This window comes from Homo sapiens, chromosome Y (assembly GCF_000001405.40).
Source record: "Homo sapiens chromosome Y, GRCh38.p14 Primary Assembly".
Taxonomy (NCBI): domain Eukaryota; kingdom Metazoa; phylum Chordata; class Mammalia; order Primates; family Hominidae; genus Homo; species Homo sapiens.
Window position 1 is genome coordinate 2,589,231 of NC_000024.10, and position 22,389 is coordinate 2,611,619.

General features: G+C 47.2%; 1 long non-coding RNA gene, 1 other non-coding gene and 1 pseudogene across 6 annotated transcripts in view, besides 1 other annotated feature; 2 read left to right on the forward strand and 1 right to left on the reverse strand.

The window, feature by feature from the left end:
• LINC03112 (long intergenic non-protein coding RNA 3112) overlaps nucleotides 1-20,010 on the reverse strand; it is a 43,212-nt gene extending 23,202 nt beyond the window's left edge. Inside the window, exon 1 of one of the 3 annotated variants that reach the window (XR_001756051.3) lies at nucleotides 19,876-20,010. This is a non-coding gene — a long non-coding RNA (long intergenic non-protein coding RNA 3112). The remainder of the gene's footprint in view (nucleotides 1-19,875) is intronic. The other 2 variants (XR_001756049.2, XR_001756050.2) reach the window with 2 other exon arrangements.
• Nucleotides 19,308-19,832: an enhancer, noted in NCBI's record as "H3K4me1 hESC enhancer chrY:2476579-2477103 (GRCh37/hg19 assembly coordinates)". NCBI's record gives its function as "activates a minimal SCP1, AML or CMV promoter by ChIP-STARR-seq in primed H9 embryonic stem cells {active_cell/tissue: H9 hESC(primed)}" and the evidence as "EXISTENCE:reporter gene assay evidence [ECO:0000049][PMID:30033119]".
• On the forward strand, nucleotides 19,961-20,024 carry MIR6089 (microRNA 6089). Its single transcript, NR_106737.1, has one exon. It is a non-coding gene; the product is annotated as a microRNA 6089 (primary transcript).
• A 10-nt stretch (nucleotides 20,025-20,034) lies between these two features.
• The window catches only part of CD99P1 (CD99 molecule pseudogene 1), a 47,965-nt pseudogene continuing 45,610 nt past the window's right edge, over nucleotides 20,035-22,389 (forward strand). For both annotated transcript variants that reach the window (NR_033380.1, NR_033381.1), the window contains exons 1-2: nucleotides 20,035-20,251; nucleotides 21,766-21,808. The product of NR_033380.1 is annotated as a CD99 molecule pseudogene 1, transcript variant 1 (transcript). The remainder of the gene's footprint in view (nucleotides 20,252-21,765; nucleotides 21,809-22,389) is intronic.

The following is a 22,389-nucleotide window of genomic DNA, read 5'->3' on the forward strand; positions in this document are numbered from 1 at the left end:
GGTGTAAGCCACCATGCCTGGGCCGGTTTGTTTTTATTTTAGCTCATAGTTGCATGTAGAAACTCATGGACAAGATGAACCATGAGCCCTGGGGCAGGCAGATGAGGACAGGAAAAGTTCCCCATTGACTAATTCATTCCTGGGTGATTAGAAGTATTGGAAGGATTTTATCACTTCTGATTGGCTCAGTATCTGTGTGAGTAAGAGCTGCTCATGGGCTGACCAGAATCTGCTCCAGGTGGACAGCTATCTCTGGGTCTGTTTACTGAAGAAACGTGTGTACTTTCTTGAATGTGCTACAACTCTTCAGGGTATCCCTGGAGAACTTTGGGATAGGTCCAGCATTCCATGTAGAAGATGGAACATCTTTCCCAAGAGTTTTTGGATCGTGTCTATCTCTGGCTTGACTCAATTGCCTAAAGTAATTGAATAATAAGTGCTTTTCCTCTGCTTCACTTTGAATGCTGAAACATGCGTTTTGTTTTTTAACCAGAGGAAACTTGCCCAAATTCTTGACAATCCTGGGCTCCTTTGGAGGATTGAAAATCTTGGGTCCTGGCTCTGTCTCCTGGATCTGCACGTTGGGTCATCAGTATTCAAAATAATTCAAACTCAGGTGATCCAGTGACCAGCTTTCGCAATTTGCTATATGAAACTGATTTGGCCGGGCATGGTGACTCATGCCTATAATCCTAGCACTTTGGGGGGCTGAGGCAGGTGGATTGCTTGAGGTCAGCAGTTCGAGACCAGCCTGGCCAACATGGTGAAACTCTGTCTCTCCTAAAATACAAAAATTAGCTGGGCATGGTGGCGGGCACCTGTTGTCCCAGCTACTTGGAAGGCTGAAGCAGGAGAATCGCTTGAACCCAGGAGGTAGAGGTTGCAGTGAGCCGAGATTACGTCACTGCACTCCAGCCTGAGTGACAGAGCGAGACTCCGTCTCAAACAACAAAAAACAAAAAAGCAGGAAACAAAACAAAACTGATTTGGTTTACAAATCAAGGTCAAAAATCAAGATTTGGAAAAAATCTTGGTCAAAATCAGGATTTTGACTACTGTTTCTCCATGCCCTGCTCACATGAGAAACCCTCTCTCCCTCCAAGGCTCCAACTCTGTAATCACTTCTCATTCCCAAATCTGTGGGTCAAATCAAGGTCAAAAATCAAGATCTGGGTTGCAGCCGGGCTTGGTGGCTCATGCCTGTAATCCCAGCACTTTGGGAGGCCAAGGTGGGTGGATCACCTGTGGTCAGGAGTTCAAGACCAGCCTGACCAACATGGTGAAACCTCGTCTCTACTAAAAATACAAAATTAGCCAGCCGTGGTGGAATGTGCCTGTAGTCCCAGCCACTTGGGAGGCTGAGGCAGGAGAATTGCTTGAACCCGGAAGGCGGAGGTTGCAGTGAGCTGAGATTACACCAGGGTACTCCAGCCAGGGCGACAGAGTGAGGCTGTGTCTCAAAAACAAAAAGGATTTGGGTTACAAAATCAAGTTTGTAAACCAAATCAAGTCTGTGGTATGGATTTGTGTCCAGTCCCTCTTTATGTGTGCCTTTGTGTTGGGGCGGAGGTGTGGTTATTGTTTTTTCTGATAGTTTTTCCTAATGTGTTATTATTTTTAGTGAGGTTAAGTCTACAGGTTAACTGAGGCATAAACAGACTTGCTATATTTGCTAATTTAGGCAAAACACAAAGCCAATGATAAAAACCGATAAAACCCAATGGACGAAAACGGATGTTTCCGTAATAGCAGGAGTCGCTTAGAGGTTCAAAAGCATTTTACCTTCTTAGTTCATGGTTTCTGCTTTTCTTTAGTCTGCCAGTGTTGTTGTCTTTGGGATATGTCTTTTTACTATTTGCTCAGATTATTTCAAATATGATAGTGGGTAGTGTTGTGTGAAATAGCTAAGATTTTATGTAGATGCTATTAATAAATTTAAACTAACATTTTAGGTGTCCAGCATTTTTTATCTATGAACAGAGCAGCTAACACTAGAAAGAGTTCTCTTTACAGGGAAGCAGATGTAACCCACCTGCTTTTTAGAATGGGGTGGTTTTACAAGGAAACATCTCTCTAGGTTTTTTTTTTTTTTCGTGAGCCAGAGTCTCACTCTGTCGCCAGGCTGGAGCGCAGTGGCACAATCTAGGCTCACTGCAACCTCCGCCTCCTGGGTTCAAGCAATTCCCCTGCCTCAGCCTCCCAAGTAGCTGGGATTACAAGTGTGTGCCACCACGCTCAGCTAATTTTCGTATTTTTAGTAGAGATGAGCTTTCACCATGTTGGCCAAGATGGTCTCGGTCTCCTGACCTTGTGATCCACCCTCCTCGGCCTCCCAAAGTGCTGGGATTATAGGCGTGAGCCACCGCGCCTGGCCGGAAACATCTCTCAAGTTCCTAAGGTAACTGCTTTGTTCCAAAACATAGATTCATTAAACTCAGTGTGTGTGAAAACTAGTAATAAGTTAGCAGAGCTGATGGGGACTTCAGACTTTAGTGTATGTTTTTTACTACCTTATTCCAGCAAATATGGGTTGGCGACAAAACCACAGAAACGATAGAAGAAAGGACATTTTATTTTTAAAATAGCAGAGTGGGAGCCAGTCAGCCATGGATTCAGATGACGAAAACAACCAAAGAAATGTGCACAAACTCTCACAGTGTTATTTCAACAAAGTATATATTTACAGATTGTCTAAATGGGTATGCTTTTTAGCTTTAAGCTTTGCTTTCATTTTTATTTCGTTTGTGGAAAAAAATGTGAAAACCAACAGAGCTGGGGAACACAACGTTGGCCATGCATTCTAATTAACTTGTTTTTTTGGTTTGTTTTTGTTGTTTTTGTTTTGAGATGGAGTCTTACTCTGTCACCCAGGCTGGAGTGCAGTGGCATGATCTCCGCTCACTGCAACCTCTGCCTCCCAGGTTCAAGCGATTCTCCCGCCTCAGCCTCCTGAGTAGCTGGGATTACAGGCACGTGCCACCACACCCATCTAATTTTTGTATTTTTAGTAGAGACGGGGTTTCACCATACTGGCCAGGCTGGTCTTGAACTCCTGACCTCAGGTGATCCGCCCACCTCAGCGTCTATTCTTTGTAACAATCATGTGCCTTGATTTAAGAATTCCCATGTGCTCAAGCTTCTTGACCATCAGAGTGATTGTAAGATAAAGTAAGAATGAGACACCTTGAGGTCTCATTCAGGCCAGTGGGGATGTGTGGGGAAAACAAACAAACAAACCAAAAAAACAGGAAATATGGGTTAGTCACTAACCCTTTAATGGTGTTTCCTGTGTGTTAAAACTTTTTACGTAGAGCCACTGCCTCTCAGGTAGGCAGGACTGTGTCCTTTGTCAAATGAAATAGTGGGGGCAGCAAGTTGAAATCACCTGTGTGATTTAAACCCATGCATTACTTGGGGGAGAACTGTTGACATAATTCAGTGTCAACAGGGGAAGGAACATGTTCTCTTTCCAGAAGGGTATAAAGGTACTGGCCAGGTGCAGTGGCTCACGCCTGTAATCCCAGCACTTTGGGAGGCCGAGGCAGGTGGATCACCTGAAGTCAAGGAGTTCATGACCGGCCTGGCCAACATGGTGAAACCCCGTCTCTACTAAAAATGCAAAAATTAGCAGGGCACGGAAGCAGGCGCCTGTAGTCCTAACTACTCGGGAGGCTGAGGCGGGAGAATCACTTGAACCCAGGAGGCGGAGACTGCAGTGAGCCGAGATTGCTCCACAACACTCCAGCCTGGGCGACAGAGTGAGTCTCTGTCTCAAAACAAACAAACAAACAAATATATATATATATAATATAATATAATATCAGACCAGCTAAAATCACATGTATATGTGGGTCAAACATAAATGTGGTGTTTGAAATGTCCCTTTTCTTTGACACAAAACTTCATTTTTCAAGTATAAAGCCCGATTTTGATGCCCATTTGCGGTGTGCAAGTCCTCATTATTCCAATGCTTCAGAGTCCGTGTTACAGGCAGAAATGTAAATATTTATTCTGTAATCGTCCTTTAATTTTTTTTTGTTCTTTCCTGCATCACAAAGTTTTTGACTGGCTGTTTCGGAAGACTATGTGATAGTTTCCTTTAACAGGGGGAGAAGAGCCCTTCATGATGGCGCTGAAGAATGATGATGCCTGTGTGTGTGCGGACCTGACCAAATTCTCAGGTTTGGGGTTACCCTCTAGATAAAGATTCTGATGGGGAGAGGGAGCTGTGATTTAGTTAATGCTTATCTGACTGCGCCACCTACCGGCTCGGCAGGGAATATGCTGCCTGCCTCTGAGGTTTTCACCGAGGCTGGGTACGGTGGCTCACGCCTGTCATCCCAGCACTTTGGGAGGCCGAGGCGGGAGGATCACGAGGTCAGGAGTTCGAGACCAGCCTGGCCAACATGGTGAAACCCCCGTCTCTATTAAAAGTACAAAAAATTAGCCTGGCGTGATGGTCGGGCGCCTGTAGTCCCAGCTACTCGGGAGGCTGAAGCAGGAGAATGGCGTGAACCCGGAAGGCGGAGTTTGCAGTGAGCCGAGATCTCACCACTACACTCCAGCCTGGGCGACAGAGCGAGATTCCATCTCAAATTAAAAAAAAAAAAAAAAAAGGTGTGTGTACCCCTGCACCCCTGCAAGGGGACACGAGGCACCATGGCCACCTGTCATCGTTCTTAGATCTGAGAAGAGTGAAAAAAAAAAAAGTGCTGTGTACAGATAGATTTTGGAGTTTTAAAGCCTGCTTGCTGTGGGAGACTTTTCAGTATTCAAACTTTTATATTTAAGTACAATTTTTGATGATGTTGTGTCTTTTTTTTTTTGAAATGGGGGTCTTGTTCTGTCACCCAGGCTAGAAAGAAGTGGTGCCATCACAGCTCACTGCAGCCTTGACATCCTGGGGGCAAGCAATCCTCCCACCTCAGCCTCCAGACCAGCTAAAATCACAGGCGTGTGCCACCATGCTCAGCTAATATGTTTGTTTGTTTGTTTTGTAGAGACGAGGTATCACTATGTTGTCCAGGGTGGTCTTGAACTCTTGAACTCAAGAAATCCTCCTGCCTTAGTCTCCCAAAGTGCTAGGATTACAGACGTGCGTTACCGTGTGCAACCTGATATTTTATCTGACAATGGTAGGGAGGGGCCAGAAGAGTCAGGGAGAGGGAGATGGAGACAGAAAGGAAAAGGAATAAAGAGAGAGAGAGAGAGACAAGGAGAGAGAGACTGATGGAAATTCTTTTTCCACCAACCGAGAAGAGAAGCAGCATCCCATCAGAGGGGGTTGATCCAAGCCATCTACTGTATTAGTTCATGAGAAATGACTGGCTGTAACACATGAGCCCTGGAATTTCTGTGGCTTAACAATTAAATAATTATTTCTCACTCATCCAGTTGTCCAGTGTAAGACTTAGGGACCCCTGAGCAGGCGGCCAGCTCTCAGCAAAGACAGCACAGTACCAGGGAAGGGTCACAGGAATTTTGGCACATGGCCAGCTGGTTCCACTGCACCTGCCCAGGGACGCTGGTCTCCAGGCTCCTGGCTTCTCAGCCTCAGCACAGATGTCTGCATCCCCAGAATTTTAAGGGAGGCTGCTGGAAGCCGGGGCAGGAGGTGGGATGAGAATGAAGCTTTTCAGAGCAGAGACCATAACAGACCAATTTTCAAATTGTCTGAAAATGGAGCATGACCCAAATTCTTAGGAGACTCTAGGGAGGAGAGGGAACCGCAATAATAGCCGACATCACATTTCCCAGGGGAGTGGAGTCTAAGAGTCAGATTTGAGTCCGTTTAGATTGAAATTGGAAAGATACAGAGATGGAAGAGTCTGATGTTTCCTCAAAAGGTTAACCGAAGACATACCATATGTAGTAGTTTGTTTTCACACTGCTGATAAAGACATACCCAAAATTGGGCAACTAACAGAAGAAAGAGAGGTTTAATGAACTTATAGTTCCATGTGGCTGGGGAGGCCTCACAATCATGGCAGAAGGCAAGGAGAAGCAAGTCACGTCTTACATGGATGGTAGCAGGCAAAGAGAGAGCTTGTGCAGGAAAACTCCCTTTTATAAAATCATCAGATCTCATGAGACTTATTCACTACCATGAGTACAGCATGGGAAAGACCTGTCCCCATGATTCAATTACCTCCCACAACACATGGGAATTCAAGATGAGATTTGGGTGGGGACACAGCCAAACCACATCACCCTATGAGCCAGCAATTCTGCTTCTGGGCACATACTCAAGAGAAAAACGAGAACACGTGTCCACCAAATAGCTTGTACATTTATACACGTAATGTTGATAGCTGCACTACTCAAAATAGCCAAAAAGTGAAGGTGACCCAAACGTCCCTCAGCCAATGAACGGATTTAACAAAATATGGCATATCCATACAGTGGAATGTGATTCAGGCAGAAAAAGGTTTCAAGTGCTGACACATGCTACAGTGTGGGTGAGCCTTACAAACATACACTGGCCAGGTGCAGTGGCTCCTTCCCGTAATCCCAACACATTGGGTGGCCAAGGCAGGTGGATTCCTGGAGGCCTGGAGTTTGAGACCAGCCTGGTCAACACGGTGAAACCCCATCTCTACTAAAAGGAAAATGCAAAAATTAGCCAGGTGCGGTGGTGCACACCTGTACTCCCAGCTACTCGGGAGGCTGGGGCACGAGAATTGGTTTAGCCTGGGAGATGGAGGTTGTAGTGTGCAGTGAGCCAAAATCATGTCACTGCACTCCAGCCTGGGTGACAGAGAGTGAGACTCTGTCTCAAACAAACAAACAAAAACAAAAACAAAAAAAAAACCAAAAAAGCCCACTAACCCTAATGATTGCTGATGAGCTTTTTATAAAAATCGCAATCTTGGTCTCCTAAGTCATATTTTGGGTGGCGTATCTTGGTCTCCTAAGTCATATTTTGGGTGGCATATCTCGGTATCTTATAGGACATTCCTTTAGGTATTGCTCATTCACCCAAGGTGGCAGATTCCTATGGATTCCATCATAAATCAAGGACATGAATGAAGCCAATATTCTGTTCCCTCCCATTATGAATAAGCATCATAAACAAGACACAGGAAAAACCATGTTTTGGCTCACGCTTTCCATAGAACTCCCATAGCCCTGAAATAGTCTGCTTTATTCATAGCAATGTGCCACCAGGACATACTTGTTTATTCCTTGCAGAAATTAAGGGTAATGACAACCACTTTCAGTTTAGCATACCATTTTGAGCATGTAACTGAAAAGTGCATTCACTGTATCTCCAAAAATAATGATATACATGCATATTTGTTTCTTGCAAACAAATATAAGTGCTCACACTATATCTCCAAAATGATATGCATGCATATTTTTTTCTTGCAAACAAAGTGCTCACGCTATATCTCCAAAATAATGATATGCATGCATATTTGTTTCTTGATAGGACAGATGTAAATATTTATGTGTGCTAAGATGTGGGGGACATTGAAAGGCTGCTGGGGTTTTTGCAGGCCCCTTAGAAGTGTTGCATGTGTTAAGAAGATGGGAAATACCCTCTTCCATAATTTATGGATGCTAACTACATTCTCTAGCTCCCTTTCAGAGCCTGTCAGATACAAATGTAAAATTGTGTTTCCTCTCTCCCCATTATTTTTCCATGGATGTCATTTAGGAAATGAAAACGAACTCATGAGGACATGAGGATTGGATTGGATTCGACCACGAGAGTGATGGAGGGGTTTCAACAAAGTTCACCAAACTCCAGGCTCTTCATGGTGTCTGTCCACATGATTCAAAGTGTGACACACCCAGGCTTCCCGGAATTTAATTGACAGGTAACGTTTCAACATGTTTTCTGGAAGCACAGAAAGTCTAGATTTCAAGGAGGTGACTCTTTTCTCCCCAAAGCAGACCTTGAGACCGTGATTTTACCGCAAAGCTTTTGTGTTTGGGGAGGGTGGGCGGGGGTGAGTCCCAGGGAGCAGTGGGAGGGGAGAGGGAGTGAAGACAGAGAGTGGAAGATATTATCAGGCCAGTGACTGCAATGAGAGCTTGGAGACTCAGGGTCATCCCACCGGAAGAGTGAGGAAGGCCGGGGTCTTTTTCTGTCGTTTCCCAACATGTGTTGGCTGAGGTTGCTTCCAGGATGGGGGCATATGCTAGTTTTCTTGCACTTCCAATCTGCTCAATGGGTGGTGTATTCGGCTCTTCTTGTACTGCTATAAAGAAATACCTGAGAATGGGTAATTGATAAAGAAGAGAGGTTTAATCGGCTCACAGTTCTGCAGGCTGGACAGGAAGCCTGACTGGGGAAGCCTCAGGAAACTTACAATTATGGCAGAAGGCAAAGGGCAAGCAGGTGCATCTTACATGGTTAGAACAGGAGCAGGAGAGAGAGTGAGAAGGGAGGTGCCACACACTATTAAACAACTTGATCTTGTGAGAAATCACTCACTAGCATGAGAACAGCACCAAGAAGAGGATGCTAGACCATTCATGAAAAAGCACCCCCATGACCGAACCATCTCCCAATGGGCCCCAGCTCCAACGTTGGGGATTACAATTTGACATAACATTTGGGTGGGAACACAGATCCAAACCTTAGCAGGTGGGAAAGCAGGCTCAAGGGATAAGAGAATGGCATTGGGAAAATGATCACGTGTCTTGGCACCCAGAGGTTGGACCATCTTGCACTGACTGACAGTGTTGAGGAGGTAAAGTCCACGCCATATTGGTGAACTCCAGGAACGTGCTTCATTTTTTTTTTTGCAAGCAAGCAACAGCATCTTTTATATCTAAGCAGCAAGACAAGCTGCCATCTTGTTTATCAATAGATCTAACATCTGAGTTGAATGTCTCCTATGAATTCCTACATCTCCTATCTGTGTGTCTATGAGAATAGCCAAGTTGCCTCTTTGCCTTGAAAGGAAAGGATGGATGGAAAAGAGTTTGAACACTCCAGGTTTGCTGGAGGGAGTGATGACATCTGAACAGGAGAGGAGTCAAAGTGTTACTGGAAAGGGGTCCCAATTCAAACCCCAAGAGAGTTTTTGGATCTCATGCAAGAAAAAATTCAGGATAAGTCCACAGAGTGAAAGCAAGTTTATTAAGAAAGTAAAAGGGCTGGGCAGGGTGGCTCATGCCTGTAATGCCAACATTTTGGGAGGCTGAGATGGGCGGAATGCTTGAGCTCAAGAGTTTGAAACCAGCCTTGCCAACATGACAAAACTCCGTCTCTACCAAAAATAAAAAAGTTAGCTGGGTGTGGTGGCATGTACCTATGGTCCCAGCTACTTGGGAGACTGAGGTGGGAGGATTGCTTAAGCCCAACAGGTTGAGGCTACAGTGAACTCTGATTGTGCCAACGGACTCCACCCTGGGTAACAGAGCGAGACCTTGTCTCAGGGAAAAAAAAAAAAAAAAGAAAGTAAAGGAGTAAAACAATGGCTACTCCATAGACAGAACAGAAGCGTGGGCTGCTTGACTGAGTATACTTATGGTTATTTCTTGATTATATGCTAAACAAAGGGCATTTAGCATATAATCTGAATGCCATATTATATGCTAAATTCAAGAGTTTTCTGGGAAACGGGAGTTTCTATAACTGAGGGTTCCTCCCCTTTTAGCCAATATAGGGTAACTTCTGGATGTTGCCATGGCATTTGTAAACCGTCACAACACTGTTGGGAGTATTTTTGAGAAGCGAATGTATTAGAATTAGGGTATAATGAGCAGCGAGGATGACCAGAGGTCACTCTCATCGCCATCTGGGTTTTGGTGGGTTCTGGCCGGCTTCTTTACTGCAAACTGTTTTATCAGCAAGGTCTTTATGACCTGTATCTTGTGCTGACCTCCCATCTCATTCTGTGACTAAGAATGCCTAACCTCCTGGGAATGCAGCCCAGCAGGTCTCAGCCTCATTTTACCCAGCTCCTATTCAAGATTGAGTTGCTCTGGTTCAAATGCCTCTAACAAGAGAACATGTTGGGCCGGGCGTGGTGGCTCATATCTGTAATCCCAGCACTTTGGGAGGCTGAGGTGGGTGGAACATTTGAGGTCAGGAGTTCGAGACCAGCCTGGCCAACATAGTGAAACCCTGTCTCTACTAAAAATATAAAAAATTAGCTAGGCGTGGTGACGGGCACCTGTAATCCCAGATACTCAGGAGGCTGAGGCAGGAGAATCGCTTGAACCCGGGAGGCAGAGGTTGCAGTGACCCAAGATCGCACCATTGCACTCCAGCCTGGGGGACAAGAGCGAAGCTCCGTCTCAAAAAAAAAAAAAAAAAGAGAGAATGTGTTGGTCGTCTGCTTCTTTGGCCAAGAACCTATGTGTGAATGTAACAGTGAGAAAATTCTAACATAGTTCACTCTGTCTTGCTTCTCACCTCACAAGCTAACTGCATTTGCTCATTCCTACAAATAGGTCAAGCTAATCATGAATTCAGTTTACAGTTTAACTTTAAAGCAAGAATGATCATAGTCCCTTCCCAAAAATAACCCCCGAGGGGATCAGGAGGATGTGCGCAGAAGGAACAATGTTATGTCAAAGATTTATAAGAGCACTGTGACCTGACCAAGGATGAGGAAGTTCCACAAGGCCCCTTGGACCATAATAGCCGCCCAGATGTCTGTGGTCATTGCTCACCTCTTGCCCTCTACCACCCTCCCTCTCCCCCTGGCATAAAAGCAGCCTAAAATTCTATTAAGATGGTTCTTTCAACCCAAATGCCCATCAGTGATAGACTGGATAAAGAATATGTAGCACATATACACCATGGAATACTATGCAGCCGTAAAAAAGAATGAGTTCATGTCCCTTGCAGGGACATGGATGAAGCCGGAAACCATCATTCTCGGCAAACTAACACAGCAACAGAAAACCAACCACCACATGTTCTCACTCATAAGTGGGAGCTGAACAATGAGAACACATAGACACAGGGAGGGGAACATCACACACCGGGGCCTGTTGCAGGGTGGGGGGCAAGGGGAGGGACAGCATTAGGACAAATACCTAATGCCTGCGGGGCTTAAAACCTAGATGATGGGTTCACAGGTACAGCAAACCACCGTGGCACATGCATACCTATGTAACAAACCTGCACATTCTGCACGTGTGTCCCAGAACTTAAAGTATAATAATAAATTAAAAAAAAAAAAGATGGCTTTTTAGGACAGCAGTCTTCTGTCTTCTTGACTTGCTGGTTCTTCAAAATAAAGTTGCTGTCCTTACCTTCACACCTTGTGTCTAGACTTACTGGCTATCACGCAATGTGTGGAGGGAGCTTTAGACGCGACGACAGGATGGTGAAGGGGGTGGTCACACGTGGAAGGAGACAGAAGGAAAGGTGCAGAGAACTGGGCAAGGCACTTGGCACAGCTGACCATTTTGTGTGATTCTGGGACAGAGAGAAGTGATGGTAGGTAATCTCCCAAAACTGTTCAGCAGCTGAGAGACCTGCTCCTTCCCCCAGCCGGCTCCGAGGAGCTGCATTTCTGCACAATGTACAGTAGCCCTCCCGCCCCATCTGTGGTTTTGCTTTCCACGGTGAAAGAGTTTGGATATTTGTCCCTGTCAAATCTCATGTCAAATTGTCATGCCCAATGCTGGAGGTGGGCCTGGTGGCAGGTGTTTGGGTCATGGGGGCAGATTCCTCATGGCTTACTTCTGTCCTCGAAATAGTGAGTGAGTTCTTGCCAGATCTGGCTGTTTTAGTGCTGTGGCACCCTCACCACCCCCGTGTTGCTCCTGTTTTTCCCGTGTGATGTGCCTACCCCCACTTCATCTTCCACCATAACTGGAAGCTTCCTGAGGCCCTAGAAGCTGAGCAGATGCCGGTGCCGTGCTTTCTCCATAGCCTGCAGAACCATGAGCCAATTACACCTCCTTTGTGTGTGTGTGTGTGTGTGAGAGAGACAGGAGTCTTGCTGTCGCCCAGGCTGGAGTGCAGTGGTGTGATCTCAGCTCACTGCAACCTCCACCTCCCAGGTTCAAGCGATTCCCCTGCCTCAGCCTCCCAAGTAGCTGGGATTACAAGCACCCACCATGACCCCCGGCTAATTTTTTGTATTTTTTGTAGAGACAGGGTTTCACCATGTTGGCCAGGCTGGTCTCAGACTCCTGATCTCAAGTGATCCTCCCGCCTCAGCCTCCCAAAGTGCTGGGATTACAGGCGTGAGCCACCGTGCCCGGCCCACCTCTTTTTTTCGTATAAATTACCCAGTCTCTGGTATTTCTTTGCAGCAATGCAAGAACAGCCTACAACATGTGGTTTCCGTTATCACTGGTCAACTATGGCTGAAAATACTAAGATATTTCAAGAGAGAGAGTGAGACACACACATGAAAGAGAGAGAGAGCACATTACATTCACATAACTTTTACTACAGTATATTGTTGTAATTGTTCTATTTTATTATTAGTCTGTTGTTGTTAATCTTTCACTGTGCCTAATTCATAAATTAAACCTTACCATTATAGGTTTGTTTGTATAAGAAAAGAAACAGGCTGGCCACAGTGGCTCACACCTGTAAACCCAGAACTTTGGGAGGCGGGTTGATCACCTGAGGTCAGGAGTTTGAGACTAGCCTGACCAACATGGCAAAATCCCATCTCTATTAACAATAGAAAAAAATGAGCCAGCTGTGGTGGCAGGCACCTGTAATCCCAGCTACTTGGGAGGCTGAGACAGGAGAATTGCTTGAACCCGGGAGGTGGAGGTTGCAGAGAGCCAAGATCACACCACTGCATTCCAGCCTGGGTGACAGAGCAAGACCCTGTCTCAAAGAAAAATAAATAAATAAATAAAATGTACTAAAGGAAATAAAAATATTTTATCTCAAAATATATTTCTTTAATATATTGGGGAATACTCCTGAAATGCTATCTTTCCACTTCTCAAAAGAAGACATTCATATGGCCAAAAAAAACATATGGAAAAACCTCAGCACCGCTGATTCTTAGAGAAATGCAAATCAAAGCCACAATGAGACCCCATCTCACACCAGTCAGGATGGTGATTATTAAAAAGTCAAAACACAACCGGTGCTGGCGAGGTTGTGGAGAAATAGAAACACTGTGACACTGTTGGTGGGAGTGTAAATGAATTCAACCATTGTGGAAGACAGTGTGGCGATTCCCCAGAGACCTCAAGGCAGAATTACCATTTGACCCAGCAATCCCATTACTGGGTATGTACCCAAAGGAAAAATCATTCTATTATAAAGATACACGCATGCGTATGTTCATTGCAGCGCTGTTCACAATAGCAAAGACATAGAATCAACCTAAATGCCTAAATAATAGGCTGGATAAAGAAAATGCGGTGGCCAGGCACAGTGGCTCATACCTGTAATCCCAGCACTTTGGGAGGCTGAGGCGGGCAGATCACTTGAGGTCAGGAGTTCAAGACCAGCCTGGCCAACATGGTGAAACCCCGTCTCTACTAAAAATACAAAAATGTGCTGGGTGTGATGGTGGGTGCCTGTAATCCTAGCTACTTGGCAGGCTGAGGCAGGAGAATCGCTTGAACCCGGGAAGCGGAGGTTGCAGTGAGCTGAGATTGCACCACAGCACTCCAGCCTGGGTGACAGAGCAAGACTCTATTTCAAAAAGAAAGAAAGAAAAAAAAGAAATAGTACATATACACCATGGAATACTATGCAGCCATACAAAAGAATGAGTTCGTGTCCTTTGCAGGAACACGGATGGAGTTGGAAGCCGTTATCCTCAGCAAACTAATGCAGGAACAGAAAATAAAATACTGCATGTTCTCACTTATAAGTGGGAGCTGAAGAATGAGAGCACATGGACACGGGGAGGAGAACACACACTAGGGTCTGTGAAAAGGTCGGGGGTAGGGGGAGGGAGAGCCTCAGGAAGAAGAGCTAATGGATGCTGGCTTCATACCTGAGTGACGGGTTGATCTGTGCAGCAAAGCACCATGGCACATGTTTACTTAGTAACAAACCTGCACGTGCACCCTTGAATTTACAATAAAATTTGAAGAAAAACAAAAAAGAAGAAGAAACACTGTCTTTTGTGGGGGACCTTGCGTCTGTCGATCTGCAGAGGGTCTCCTGTAAGGCAGCCAACTCTTCTCTTGTCCGGATCTAGGAGAGATTAACTGAGAGTATGGTGCCTTTAAAGACCTGAAAAGAAATATTCAGCATCTCTTCTCTCTGGGGGCTGCTACCTGTGAAGCTGCATGTACATAACAAGCCCACTTTTGCTAGGAAAGCCTTTTCCTTTCTCCTTCCTATAACCTGTCTTGCAGCTAAAACCTGGTTTTGGCTGGACTCTGAGTCTGCATTCTTGTTTTTTGTTTTATTTGGTTGTATTTTGAGATAGGGTCTCCGTCGCCCAGGCTGGAGTGCAGTGGTGCAATTACATCTCTGCAGTCTTCATCTCCCAGGCTCAAGCAATCAGCATGCCTGGCTAATTAAAAAAAAAAAAAAATTGGGCAGGCGGGGGAGGTGAGCATGGTGGCTCACGCCTGTAATCCCAGCACTTTGGGAGGCCGAGGCAGAGGGATCACCTGAGGTTAGGAGTTTGAGACCAGCCTGGCCAACATGGTGAAACCCCATCTCTACTAAAAATATAAAAATTGGCTGGGCGTGGTGGTGCATGCCTGTACTCCCAGCTACTCGGGAGGCTGAGGCAGGAGAATCGCTTGAACCCGACAGGCGGAGGTTGGAGTGAGCCGAGATTGCGCCACTGCACTCCAGCCTGGGCGACAGAGGGAGACCCAGTCTCCAGAAAAAAAAAAAAAAATGGTTGTGGTCAGAAACAGGGAAATGTAGGGAAGCCATAAACTCAGTAATGAACTAGACTCCTTTTAGGGAGTAGATTAGGCTGTTCCTGGTGTGTGTTACCAGAGATTCTGAAATATTCCTCGGTCGAATGCCTCCAAGAGTGATGTAGTCAACCACAAACCTCCCCCATCTGTTATATCTCCTTGTCTTGTCCCCCCAGATTGTTTTCTCATTGCTTTGCTTTTCCTGATGGGGTTCAGAAAACATTCCACCAAAATATGGAACTGTGGCATTTGAGAAAACAATTTAAGTAAGAAGGTCACTTTCACCTTACCCTCATGGTTCTTCTTTAGCATAGGCCATAAAACCTCGGAAGGACTCTCTGACCTTACCCTGAAGCAGGTCAGGGGACCCTCATTCCAGAGGCGCCCTCCCTATACCAGGAGGAAGAGAATATCCTTAACTCTGAACATGCAGGGACACAGAAGAATCTGAACAAACAGGCCCTGCTAAGTTCCCGCAGTTTATTCTCATTAGATCAGATCCTTTTGCCAGAGGCATGTAAAACAGAGCCACTCCATCTTGAATAGGAGCTGGGTAAAATGAGGCTAAAACCTACTTGGCTGAATTCCCAGATGGTTAAGGCATTCTAAGTCACAGGATGAGATAGGAGGTTGGTACAAGATACAGGTGATAAAGACCTTGCTGATAAAACAGGTTGCAGTAAAGAAGCCAGCCAAAACCCACCAAAACCAAGATGGCCACAACAGTGACCTCTGGTCGTCCTCACTGCTACACTCCTACCAGCACCATGACAGTTTACAGATGCCATGGCAACGTCAGGAAGTTACCCTACATGGTCTAAAAAGGGGAGGCATGAATAATCCACCCCCCATTTAGCATATCATCAAGAAATAACCATAAAAATGGGCAACCAGGAGCCCTCGGGGCTGCTCTATGGAGTAGCCATTCTTTATTCCTTTTGTTTCCTAATAAACTTGCTTTCACTTTACTCTATGGACTCACCCCGAATTCTTTCTTGCTTGAGATCCAAGAACCCTCTCTTGCGGTCTGGATTGGGACCCCATTCCTGTAACGTTTTTGTCCAATAGTCATACTTCTCCATCACTGTCCACTCTTCATTAAAAGTAAGCATATCACATCTGTAATCCCAGCACTTTGGGAGCCGAGGTGGGTGGATCAACTGAGGTCAGGAGTTCGAAACCAGCCTGGCCAACATGGTAAGAGTCGCTTGAACTCAGGAGGTGGAGGTTGCAATGAGCTGAGATCCCGTCACTGCACTCCAGCCTGGGTGACAGAGTGAGATTCCGTCTCAAAAACAAACAAACAAACAAACAAAAAACCAGAAAACCTAAGCGTAAAAATACTCAGATTTTCCTGTTTCTTTCTTTATGATGGCTTCTGTGTCACGTAAAACCTAAATACATGGGCCTGCTTTTCTCTTGCTATTGTCTTTTGTTCTAGGGGCCTTAGTCATGAACCCAATGATGGGTGAGGAAATATATTTCTCTCTCACTGCTACCCTGCCATTACGACAGGCCACAGGCAGCACTTCCAGCTGCTCCGTGGATGTGCTGCAACTTGAATTTGAACTTATTTCAAGTTCTTTGCCTTCAGAATGGTCAGGAATAGAGCCCATCTTCCAGGTGAACCACAGCCCCATCATGTCAACAGGTTTAGACGCAATGACATTGGAGAGGCTTGACTGCTGAAAGTGAAGAAGGAAAGTGCTTCCTAGGATAGAGTTTGTAAAGGAGCTTAAATCAGTGATGTCTTCTTGCGTCCGGTCCATGCCAATGCGCAATTTCATTTTGTTTCCCTCTTTACAGAAGAGGCTGGTCCCTGACTCTCTGGAACTGTATGCATGAGATGTTTCTCCTGAATCTACAGAGACGTAAATCCCCATGACTCAAAGACAGAATCTGTGAAATTTTACTGTCTGATCTGGGAACAGTTTTTAGGATGTCATTGTCATCTGTTGATTGGATTTTGAGTTGACCCCCAAAAGTTCAGATAAAAAACATGTGTCTCAGCAGATCTGGTAGGCTGTGCCCCTCTTCTTCTTCTTCTTTTTTTTTTTTTTTGAGATGTAATCTTGCTCTGTCGCCCAGGCTGGAGTGTAGTAGTGTGATCTGAGCTCACCGCAACATCCGCCTCCCAGGTTCAAGTGATTCTCCTGCCTCAGCCTCCAGAGTAGCTGGGATTACAGGCACTCACTGCCATGCCCAGCTAATTTTTGCATTTTTAGTAGAGATGGGGCTTCACCATGTTGGCCAGGCTGGTCTCGAACTCCTGACCTCAGGTGATCCACCCACCTCGGCCTCCCAAAGTACTGGGATTACAGGCATGAGCCACTGTGCCTGGCCTGCCCTTCTTTTCTTGCATGTCTCTGGCTGGTATTTAGTGTGCAAACATGGCATCACTGGTACTGTACTAGCCAGCTGAAAAGACGCATACACAGGCTCACACACTAAGTTATTGCCAAATTAATTATTGCTGTAAAAATGCTTTGCACCACTGAGGGGGCACAGACCATGAAATTTCCAATGTATGAACTCTAGGCTACCAAATACTGTTTACCTTTGGGCGCTGTGAACCCCGAGGAAAATTCCAGTGATTTGGGGGCAGTCACAAGGCAAAGTGGTCCAAATGGCCTGAACTCAAAATCAAAGAGCCCTTCGTTTTGATCCCAGTCCACTGCTAATGAACTCTATGGCCCTGTGTTGTTTTCTTATCAGCAGACGTGAGCTAATAAGTCCAATATCCATGTATCACAATTGTTTCCCAATGAATGAACACACAGAAAGTTACACAATACAAAAATGTCAGGTAAAAATTTACTTGTTTGTCCATCAATCCATCTATTCACTCATCCATCCACTCATCCATCTATTCTTCTTCTACCCACCCATCTATCCAGCTATCTATCCGTCTGTCCACTTATCTATCCATCCATCCATTCGTCCATCCATCCATCCATCCATCCACCCACTCATCTATCTCTACCCATCCATCCAGCCAGCCAGTAATCTGTCCACCCATCTATCCATCCATCCACCCACCCACCCATCTCTCTCTACCCCTCCAGCCACCCAGTAATCTGTCCATCCACCTATCCTTCCAACCATCCATCCACCCACCCATCCACCCACTTATCTATCTGTCCATCTATCCATAGATCAATCCGTCTATCCCCCCTTTCATCCATCCATTTATTCATCTGTCCATTTATCCATTCCTCCACCCACCCATCCATTCATCCATTTATTCATCTATGTATCCATCCATTCATCCATCCACCCAACTATCTATCCATCCAATCATCCACTCATCTTTCCATCCATCCACCCATTTATTCATTCATCCAGCCATCTATCTCTTTATCCATCCTTCCAGCAAGTGATCCATCCATTCACGCATCCAGATGGCTGTCTGTCCATTCATTCATCCATCCACCACTTCCTACCCCCAGACCCATCTATCCACCCATCATCCACTGACTTCAAAAGCTTCATTTGATCGTCTGTGCAGCAGACATGGTGTGTGATGCTCTGACACCTCTTAAGTGCTTTGGTTGCCCACAAGAACCTCACGGGAGGTCTCTAAGTTGGGCTCAGACCTTGGTAATGAAAACCAGAAATAAAAGTGATTTAAAGAAAGCTGATAGAAACCTAACTTTAGCAAATGGTAAGATAAAAATGTACTCCTTTGTCCTGTAAAAGAAGTTGGGAATGTGAGTCGGGCTGGCACAGCCGTCCTGCTGTATCATCAGCCACCCTGATACCTTTGCTCAACGTGTTCTGCCATGCTTAGAATACAACTTCTGGCCGGGTGCGGTGGCTCATGCCTGTAATCCCAGCACTTTGGGAGGCCGAGGTGGGCGGATCATGAGGTCAGGAGTTCGAGACCAGCCTGGCCAACAAGGTGAAACCCTGTCTTTACTAAAAATACAAAAAGTAGCCTGGCATGGTGGTGCATGCCTGTAATCCCAGGTACTGGGGAGGCTGAGGCAGGAGAATCACTTGAACCCGGGAGGCGGAGGTTGCAGTGAGCCAAGATTGTGCCACTGCACTCCAGCCTGGGCCACAGAGCAAGACTCCATCTCAAAACAAACAAATAAACAAACAAACAACACACAGACAACTTCTATCCTGTAGGAGACTTCCTGCTTCGAACTGGCTGCTGGGACTCCAGCCATCACGTCATTATCCCAGGCAGGTTCAGGATGAAGCAAAGACCAAAAAAAAAAAAAAAAGAAAGAAAAAAGAAAAATGATTCTGCCTCCAGGAGTGGAGTGCATAGTTAGACTGCTGCATTCCTCAAACCCCTGAGGTGGGCCCCAGGGTGCGGGGCCAGCCCCTCTGGCCTTGCCTGTGTCTGATCCAGGGGCACAGGTGGCCTGGGGAGAGACGGAGTCACCCGCAGGCCTGAGACAGCACAAGACCAGTGTTACCGAAGGGCCCCTGACGCAGCCTGCTGGGGTGAGTCGCCAAGGACCAGGACTCAGCCAGGCGACCCAGATAGGGGTCTTACCCCCAACCCCAAACCACGACCACAAGTCCTCACTCCCAACCCTGTCTCTGAGCTTGCGGCAGAACGTCCTTGGTCCCGCGCAGAGCGGGTATCCGCAGTGTGTCTCAAAGCCCCCCACCCCCGCCATCTTTCACCACTGAGCGCCCCCAGCTCGGACGCTCCAGAAAGGACCAGGGGCCGTGGCTGCCTGTCAAGGCCTACGCCTTTCTAAGCAGGGAGGGGATTGCACTTTGCACCCCTTGGGGATCGCCCTGAGCGCCCCGTGAGCAGCTGGAAGGGGGCCCCATAGTTTTCCGAGCAGAGGAGCAGGAAGAGTTTCATTTCCTCCCCGTTGGGGCTGCCTGGGGGGGGTGCCTGTTAGGAACAGAGAGGGGACAGCAAGGGCGGGCGCGGAGAGGCCCACACCTCTCCAAGAAGGGCAGCGGTTTCTCTTGGCTCCAGGTAGGGGCCGCCCTGGGGCGTGCATTTAAGGGGCTGTAGAGAGGGAGGGACCCGCACTTTCCCGAGAATGTTGGGGGTTTCACTTTGCTCTAGTTGGCGGCATCCTGGCGACGGGCTTGTGGGCGGGGGGCACTCACAGTTTCCTGAGAAGGGAAGGAGGGCGTCCCGTGGTCCCCTCGGCGCGGCCCGAGCCACCTCCGCCCGCCCCCTCCTCTGTCCCCTCCCCGGGCCCGGCGTTCCCTCCCCTTCCGTGCGCCAGTGGAGGCCGGGGTGGGGCGGGGCGGGGCAGGCGCAGCCTGGGCTGAGTTTGCAGGGCTGCTCCCCTCACCCAACCCCTTCGAGTCCTCCGCGGGCTCCGCCCCACCCGGCCCGTGGGGGAGGTTCCGTCCCGCCGCCTTCGCCCGCGCGCTGCACTCGCGGACGATCTCTGCTCGCCTTGGGCGCGCCGTGGCGCGCGGGGCCGTGCTGGCGCTGCGGCTCCTCGGCCTGCTCCGCCGTCTGGTGGCCGCCCCGGTGAGCGAGCGGCGGGATCCGGGTGGGAGGACGCGGGGGGTGGCGCGGGCTGGGCCTGGGGATCCGCCTGGGGATGTGGGGTGCAGGGGCGGGGCGCCCCGCGGGGACACCCGGCCCCTCTTCCGTGCCCGGCGGGACGCGCTGTGCCCACGGGGACCCAGGTCCGGAGGAGGCGCCCACTTTCTCCCCAGCGCTCTTCCTGGGGCCAGGTGGGAGCCGTTTCAGAGGAAAAAGCCAGCGTTTCTTTCGTAAACCAAAAAGTATCTGGGACAAGTCCCAATCCTTTTGAGTTGATTCGGCGAAGATCAGGAAGGAGCCCGGGAGACGGGTCTATGCCTTTCTCCAAAGATACTATTGAGAGCTTCGGTATTTAAAGGGGGAAAGCACGCTGGAGGGGAAAGAAGGAGGAAGGCTCATTTTACCGAATTCACCTGTTGCAAAAGAAAAGCAGCAGGTAGAATAGTCAATTATGTATTTGTCTTGCGCTCACTAAATTGGCACTTTACTAAGATAAGGTCAACAGAGAGTTATTGCACTGTCTGCTTGGGAACAGAAGGAAAGACAGCTTCCTGCCTGACTCAGCTTCCAGCTTTATTATTATTATTATTAATTATTTTGGCAGAGTGAACTGGGGTTCCAAGTTTTAATTTTCCTTCTACAGTTTGCAGAATCGCAAACTCTTAAATTTAGGGGAACCTGGGGAAGAGGTGGCATCCGATTCCCCCCCAACCCTGGTGACGTTCTTATGGATCTTATGGATACTGCAGTCTCTCTTCTCTTTCTGTCTCTCCTCTCTTCTCTTTCCTTTCTCTCTCTCCTCTTCTCTCCCTCTTCCTCTCTCTCTCCTCTCCTCTCTCTCTCTTCTCTCCTGTTCCCTCTCTCTCTTCTCTCTCTTCTTTCTCTCGCTTTTCTCTCTCCTCACTCTCCTCTCTCCCTCTCTCTCCCCTCTTTCCTCTTTCTCTCGCCTCTCTCTCACCTCTCTCCTCTCTCCCCTTTTCTCTCTCTCCCCCTCTTCTCTCTCTCCCCCTCTTCTTTCTCTCCTTTTCTCTCTCGTCTCTCTCTCCTCTCCTCTCTCCTCTCTCTCTCCTCTCCTCTCTCTCCTCTTTTCTCTCTCCCATCTCTCTCTCTCCTGTCTCCTTCTCTCTTGTCTCTCGCCTTTCTCCTCTCTCTATCTCCTCACTCTCTCCTTCTCTCTCCTCTCTCTCTTGTCTCTCTCCCGCCTCTCTCATCTATCTCCTCTCTCTCTCCCCCCTCTCCTCCCTCTCCTCTTTCTCTCCTCTATCTCCTCTCTCCCCCTCTTTCTCTCTCCTCTCTCTCTCTTACTCCCTCTTTTTCTGTCTCATGCTCATCTTTTACTGTTTTCACCTGAGGGAAGAGTGATGAGAAGATAGGAATTCACGTTTTCTGAAGTATTTAGAAACGTGGGGCCGTGGTGTTTTCTCCACCTGTTTTTGGGTCATTCCTTCCTCATTTCTCAGAACATTGGTATTAACAGCTCATTTCCCTCCTTTAAGGGCTGACTTTGACTTAGCGATGCCTTTCCTGATGGAGGAAACAGTGAGTAACTTTTTAAAGTCTCCTCTGTTGCTGACTTTGCTGATTGTCATTGAATTATTATCATTTTCAAGACATCTCTTTTGCGTGATAAATGGATTGAGTTTGGACAGTGGGAACATAGGAAGTATATGTGTTGTTTATTTTTGTTGTTGGATTTTTGATATATTTTTTTTTTGTTACCAGCATGCTGGTTTTTTTGTTTTTTTTGTTTTTTTTTTTTTTTGAAGTGTAGGTTCAGAGTCTCACTCTGTGGCCCAGGCTGGAGTGCGGTGGCGCGATCTCGGCTCACCGCAACCTCCGCCTCCTGGGCTTAAGCGATTCTTGTGCCTCAGCCTCCTGAGCATCTGGAATTACAGGCACCCACTACCACGCCCGGCTAATTTTTGTCTTTTTAGTAGGGGCTGGGTTTTGCCATGTGGAGCAGGCTGGTCTCTAACTCCTAAACTCAAGCTATGCACTCACCTTGGCCTCCCAAAGTGCTGGGATTATAGGTGCAAGCCATCACGCCCAGCCAGTATGCTGGCTTTTATTTTAAAATGGTTAGTCTTTGGAACAACGTAAGGCAAATGTGACTCCCTTGG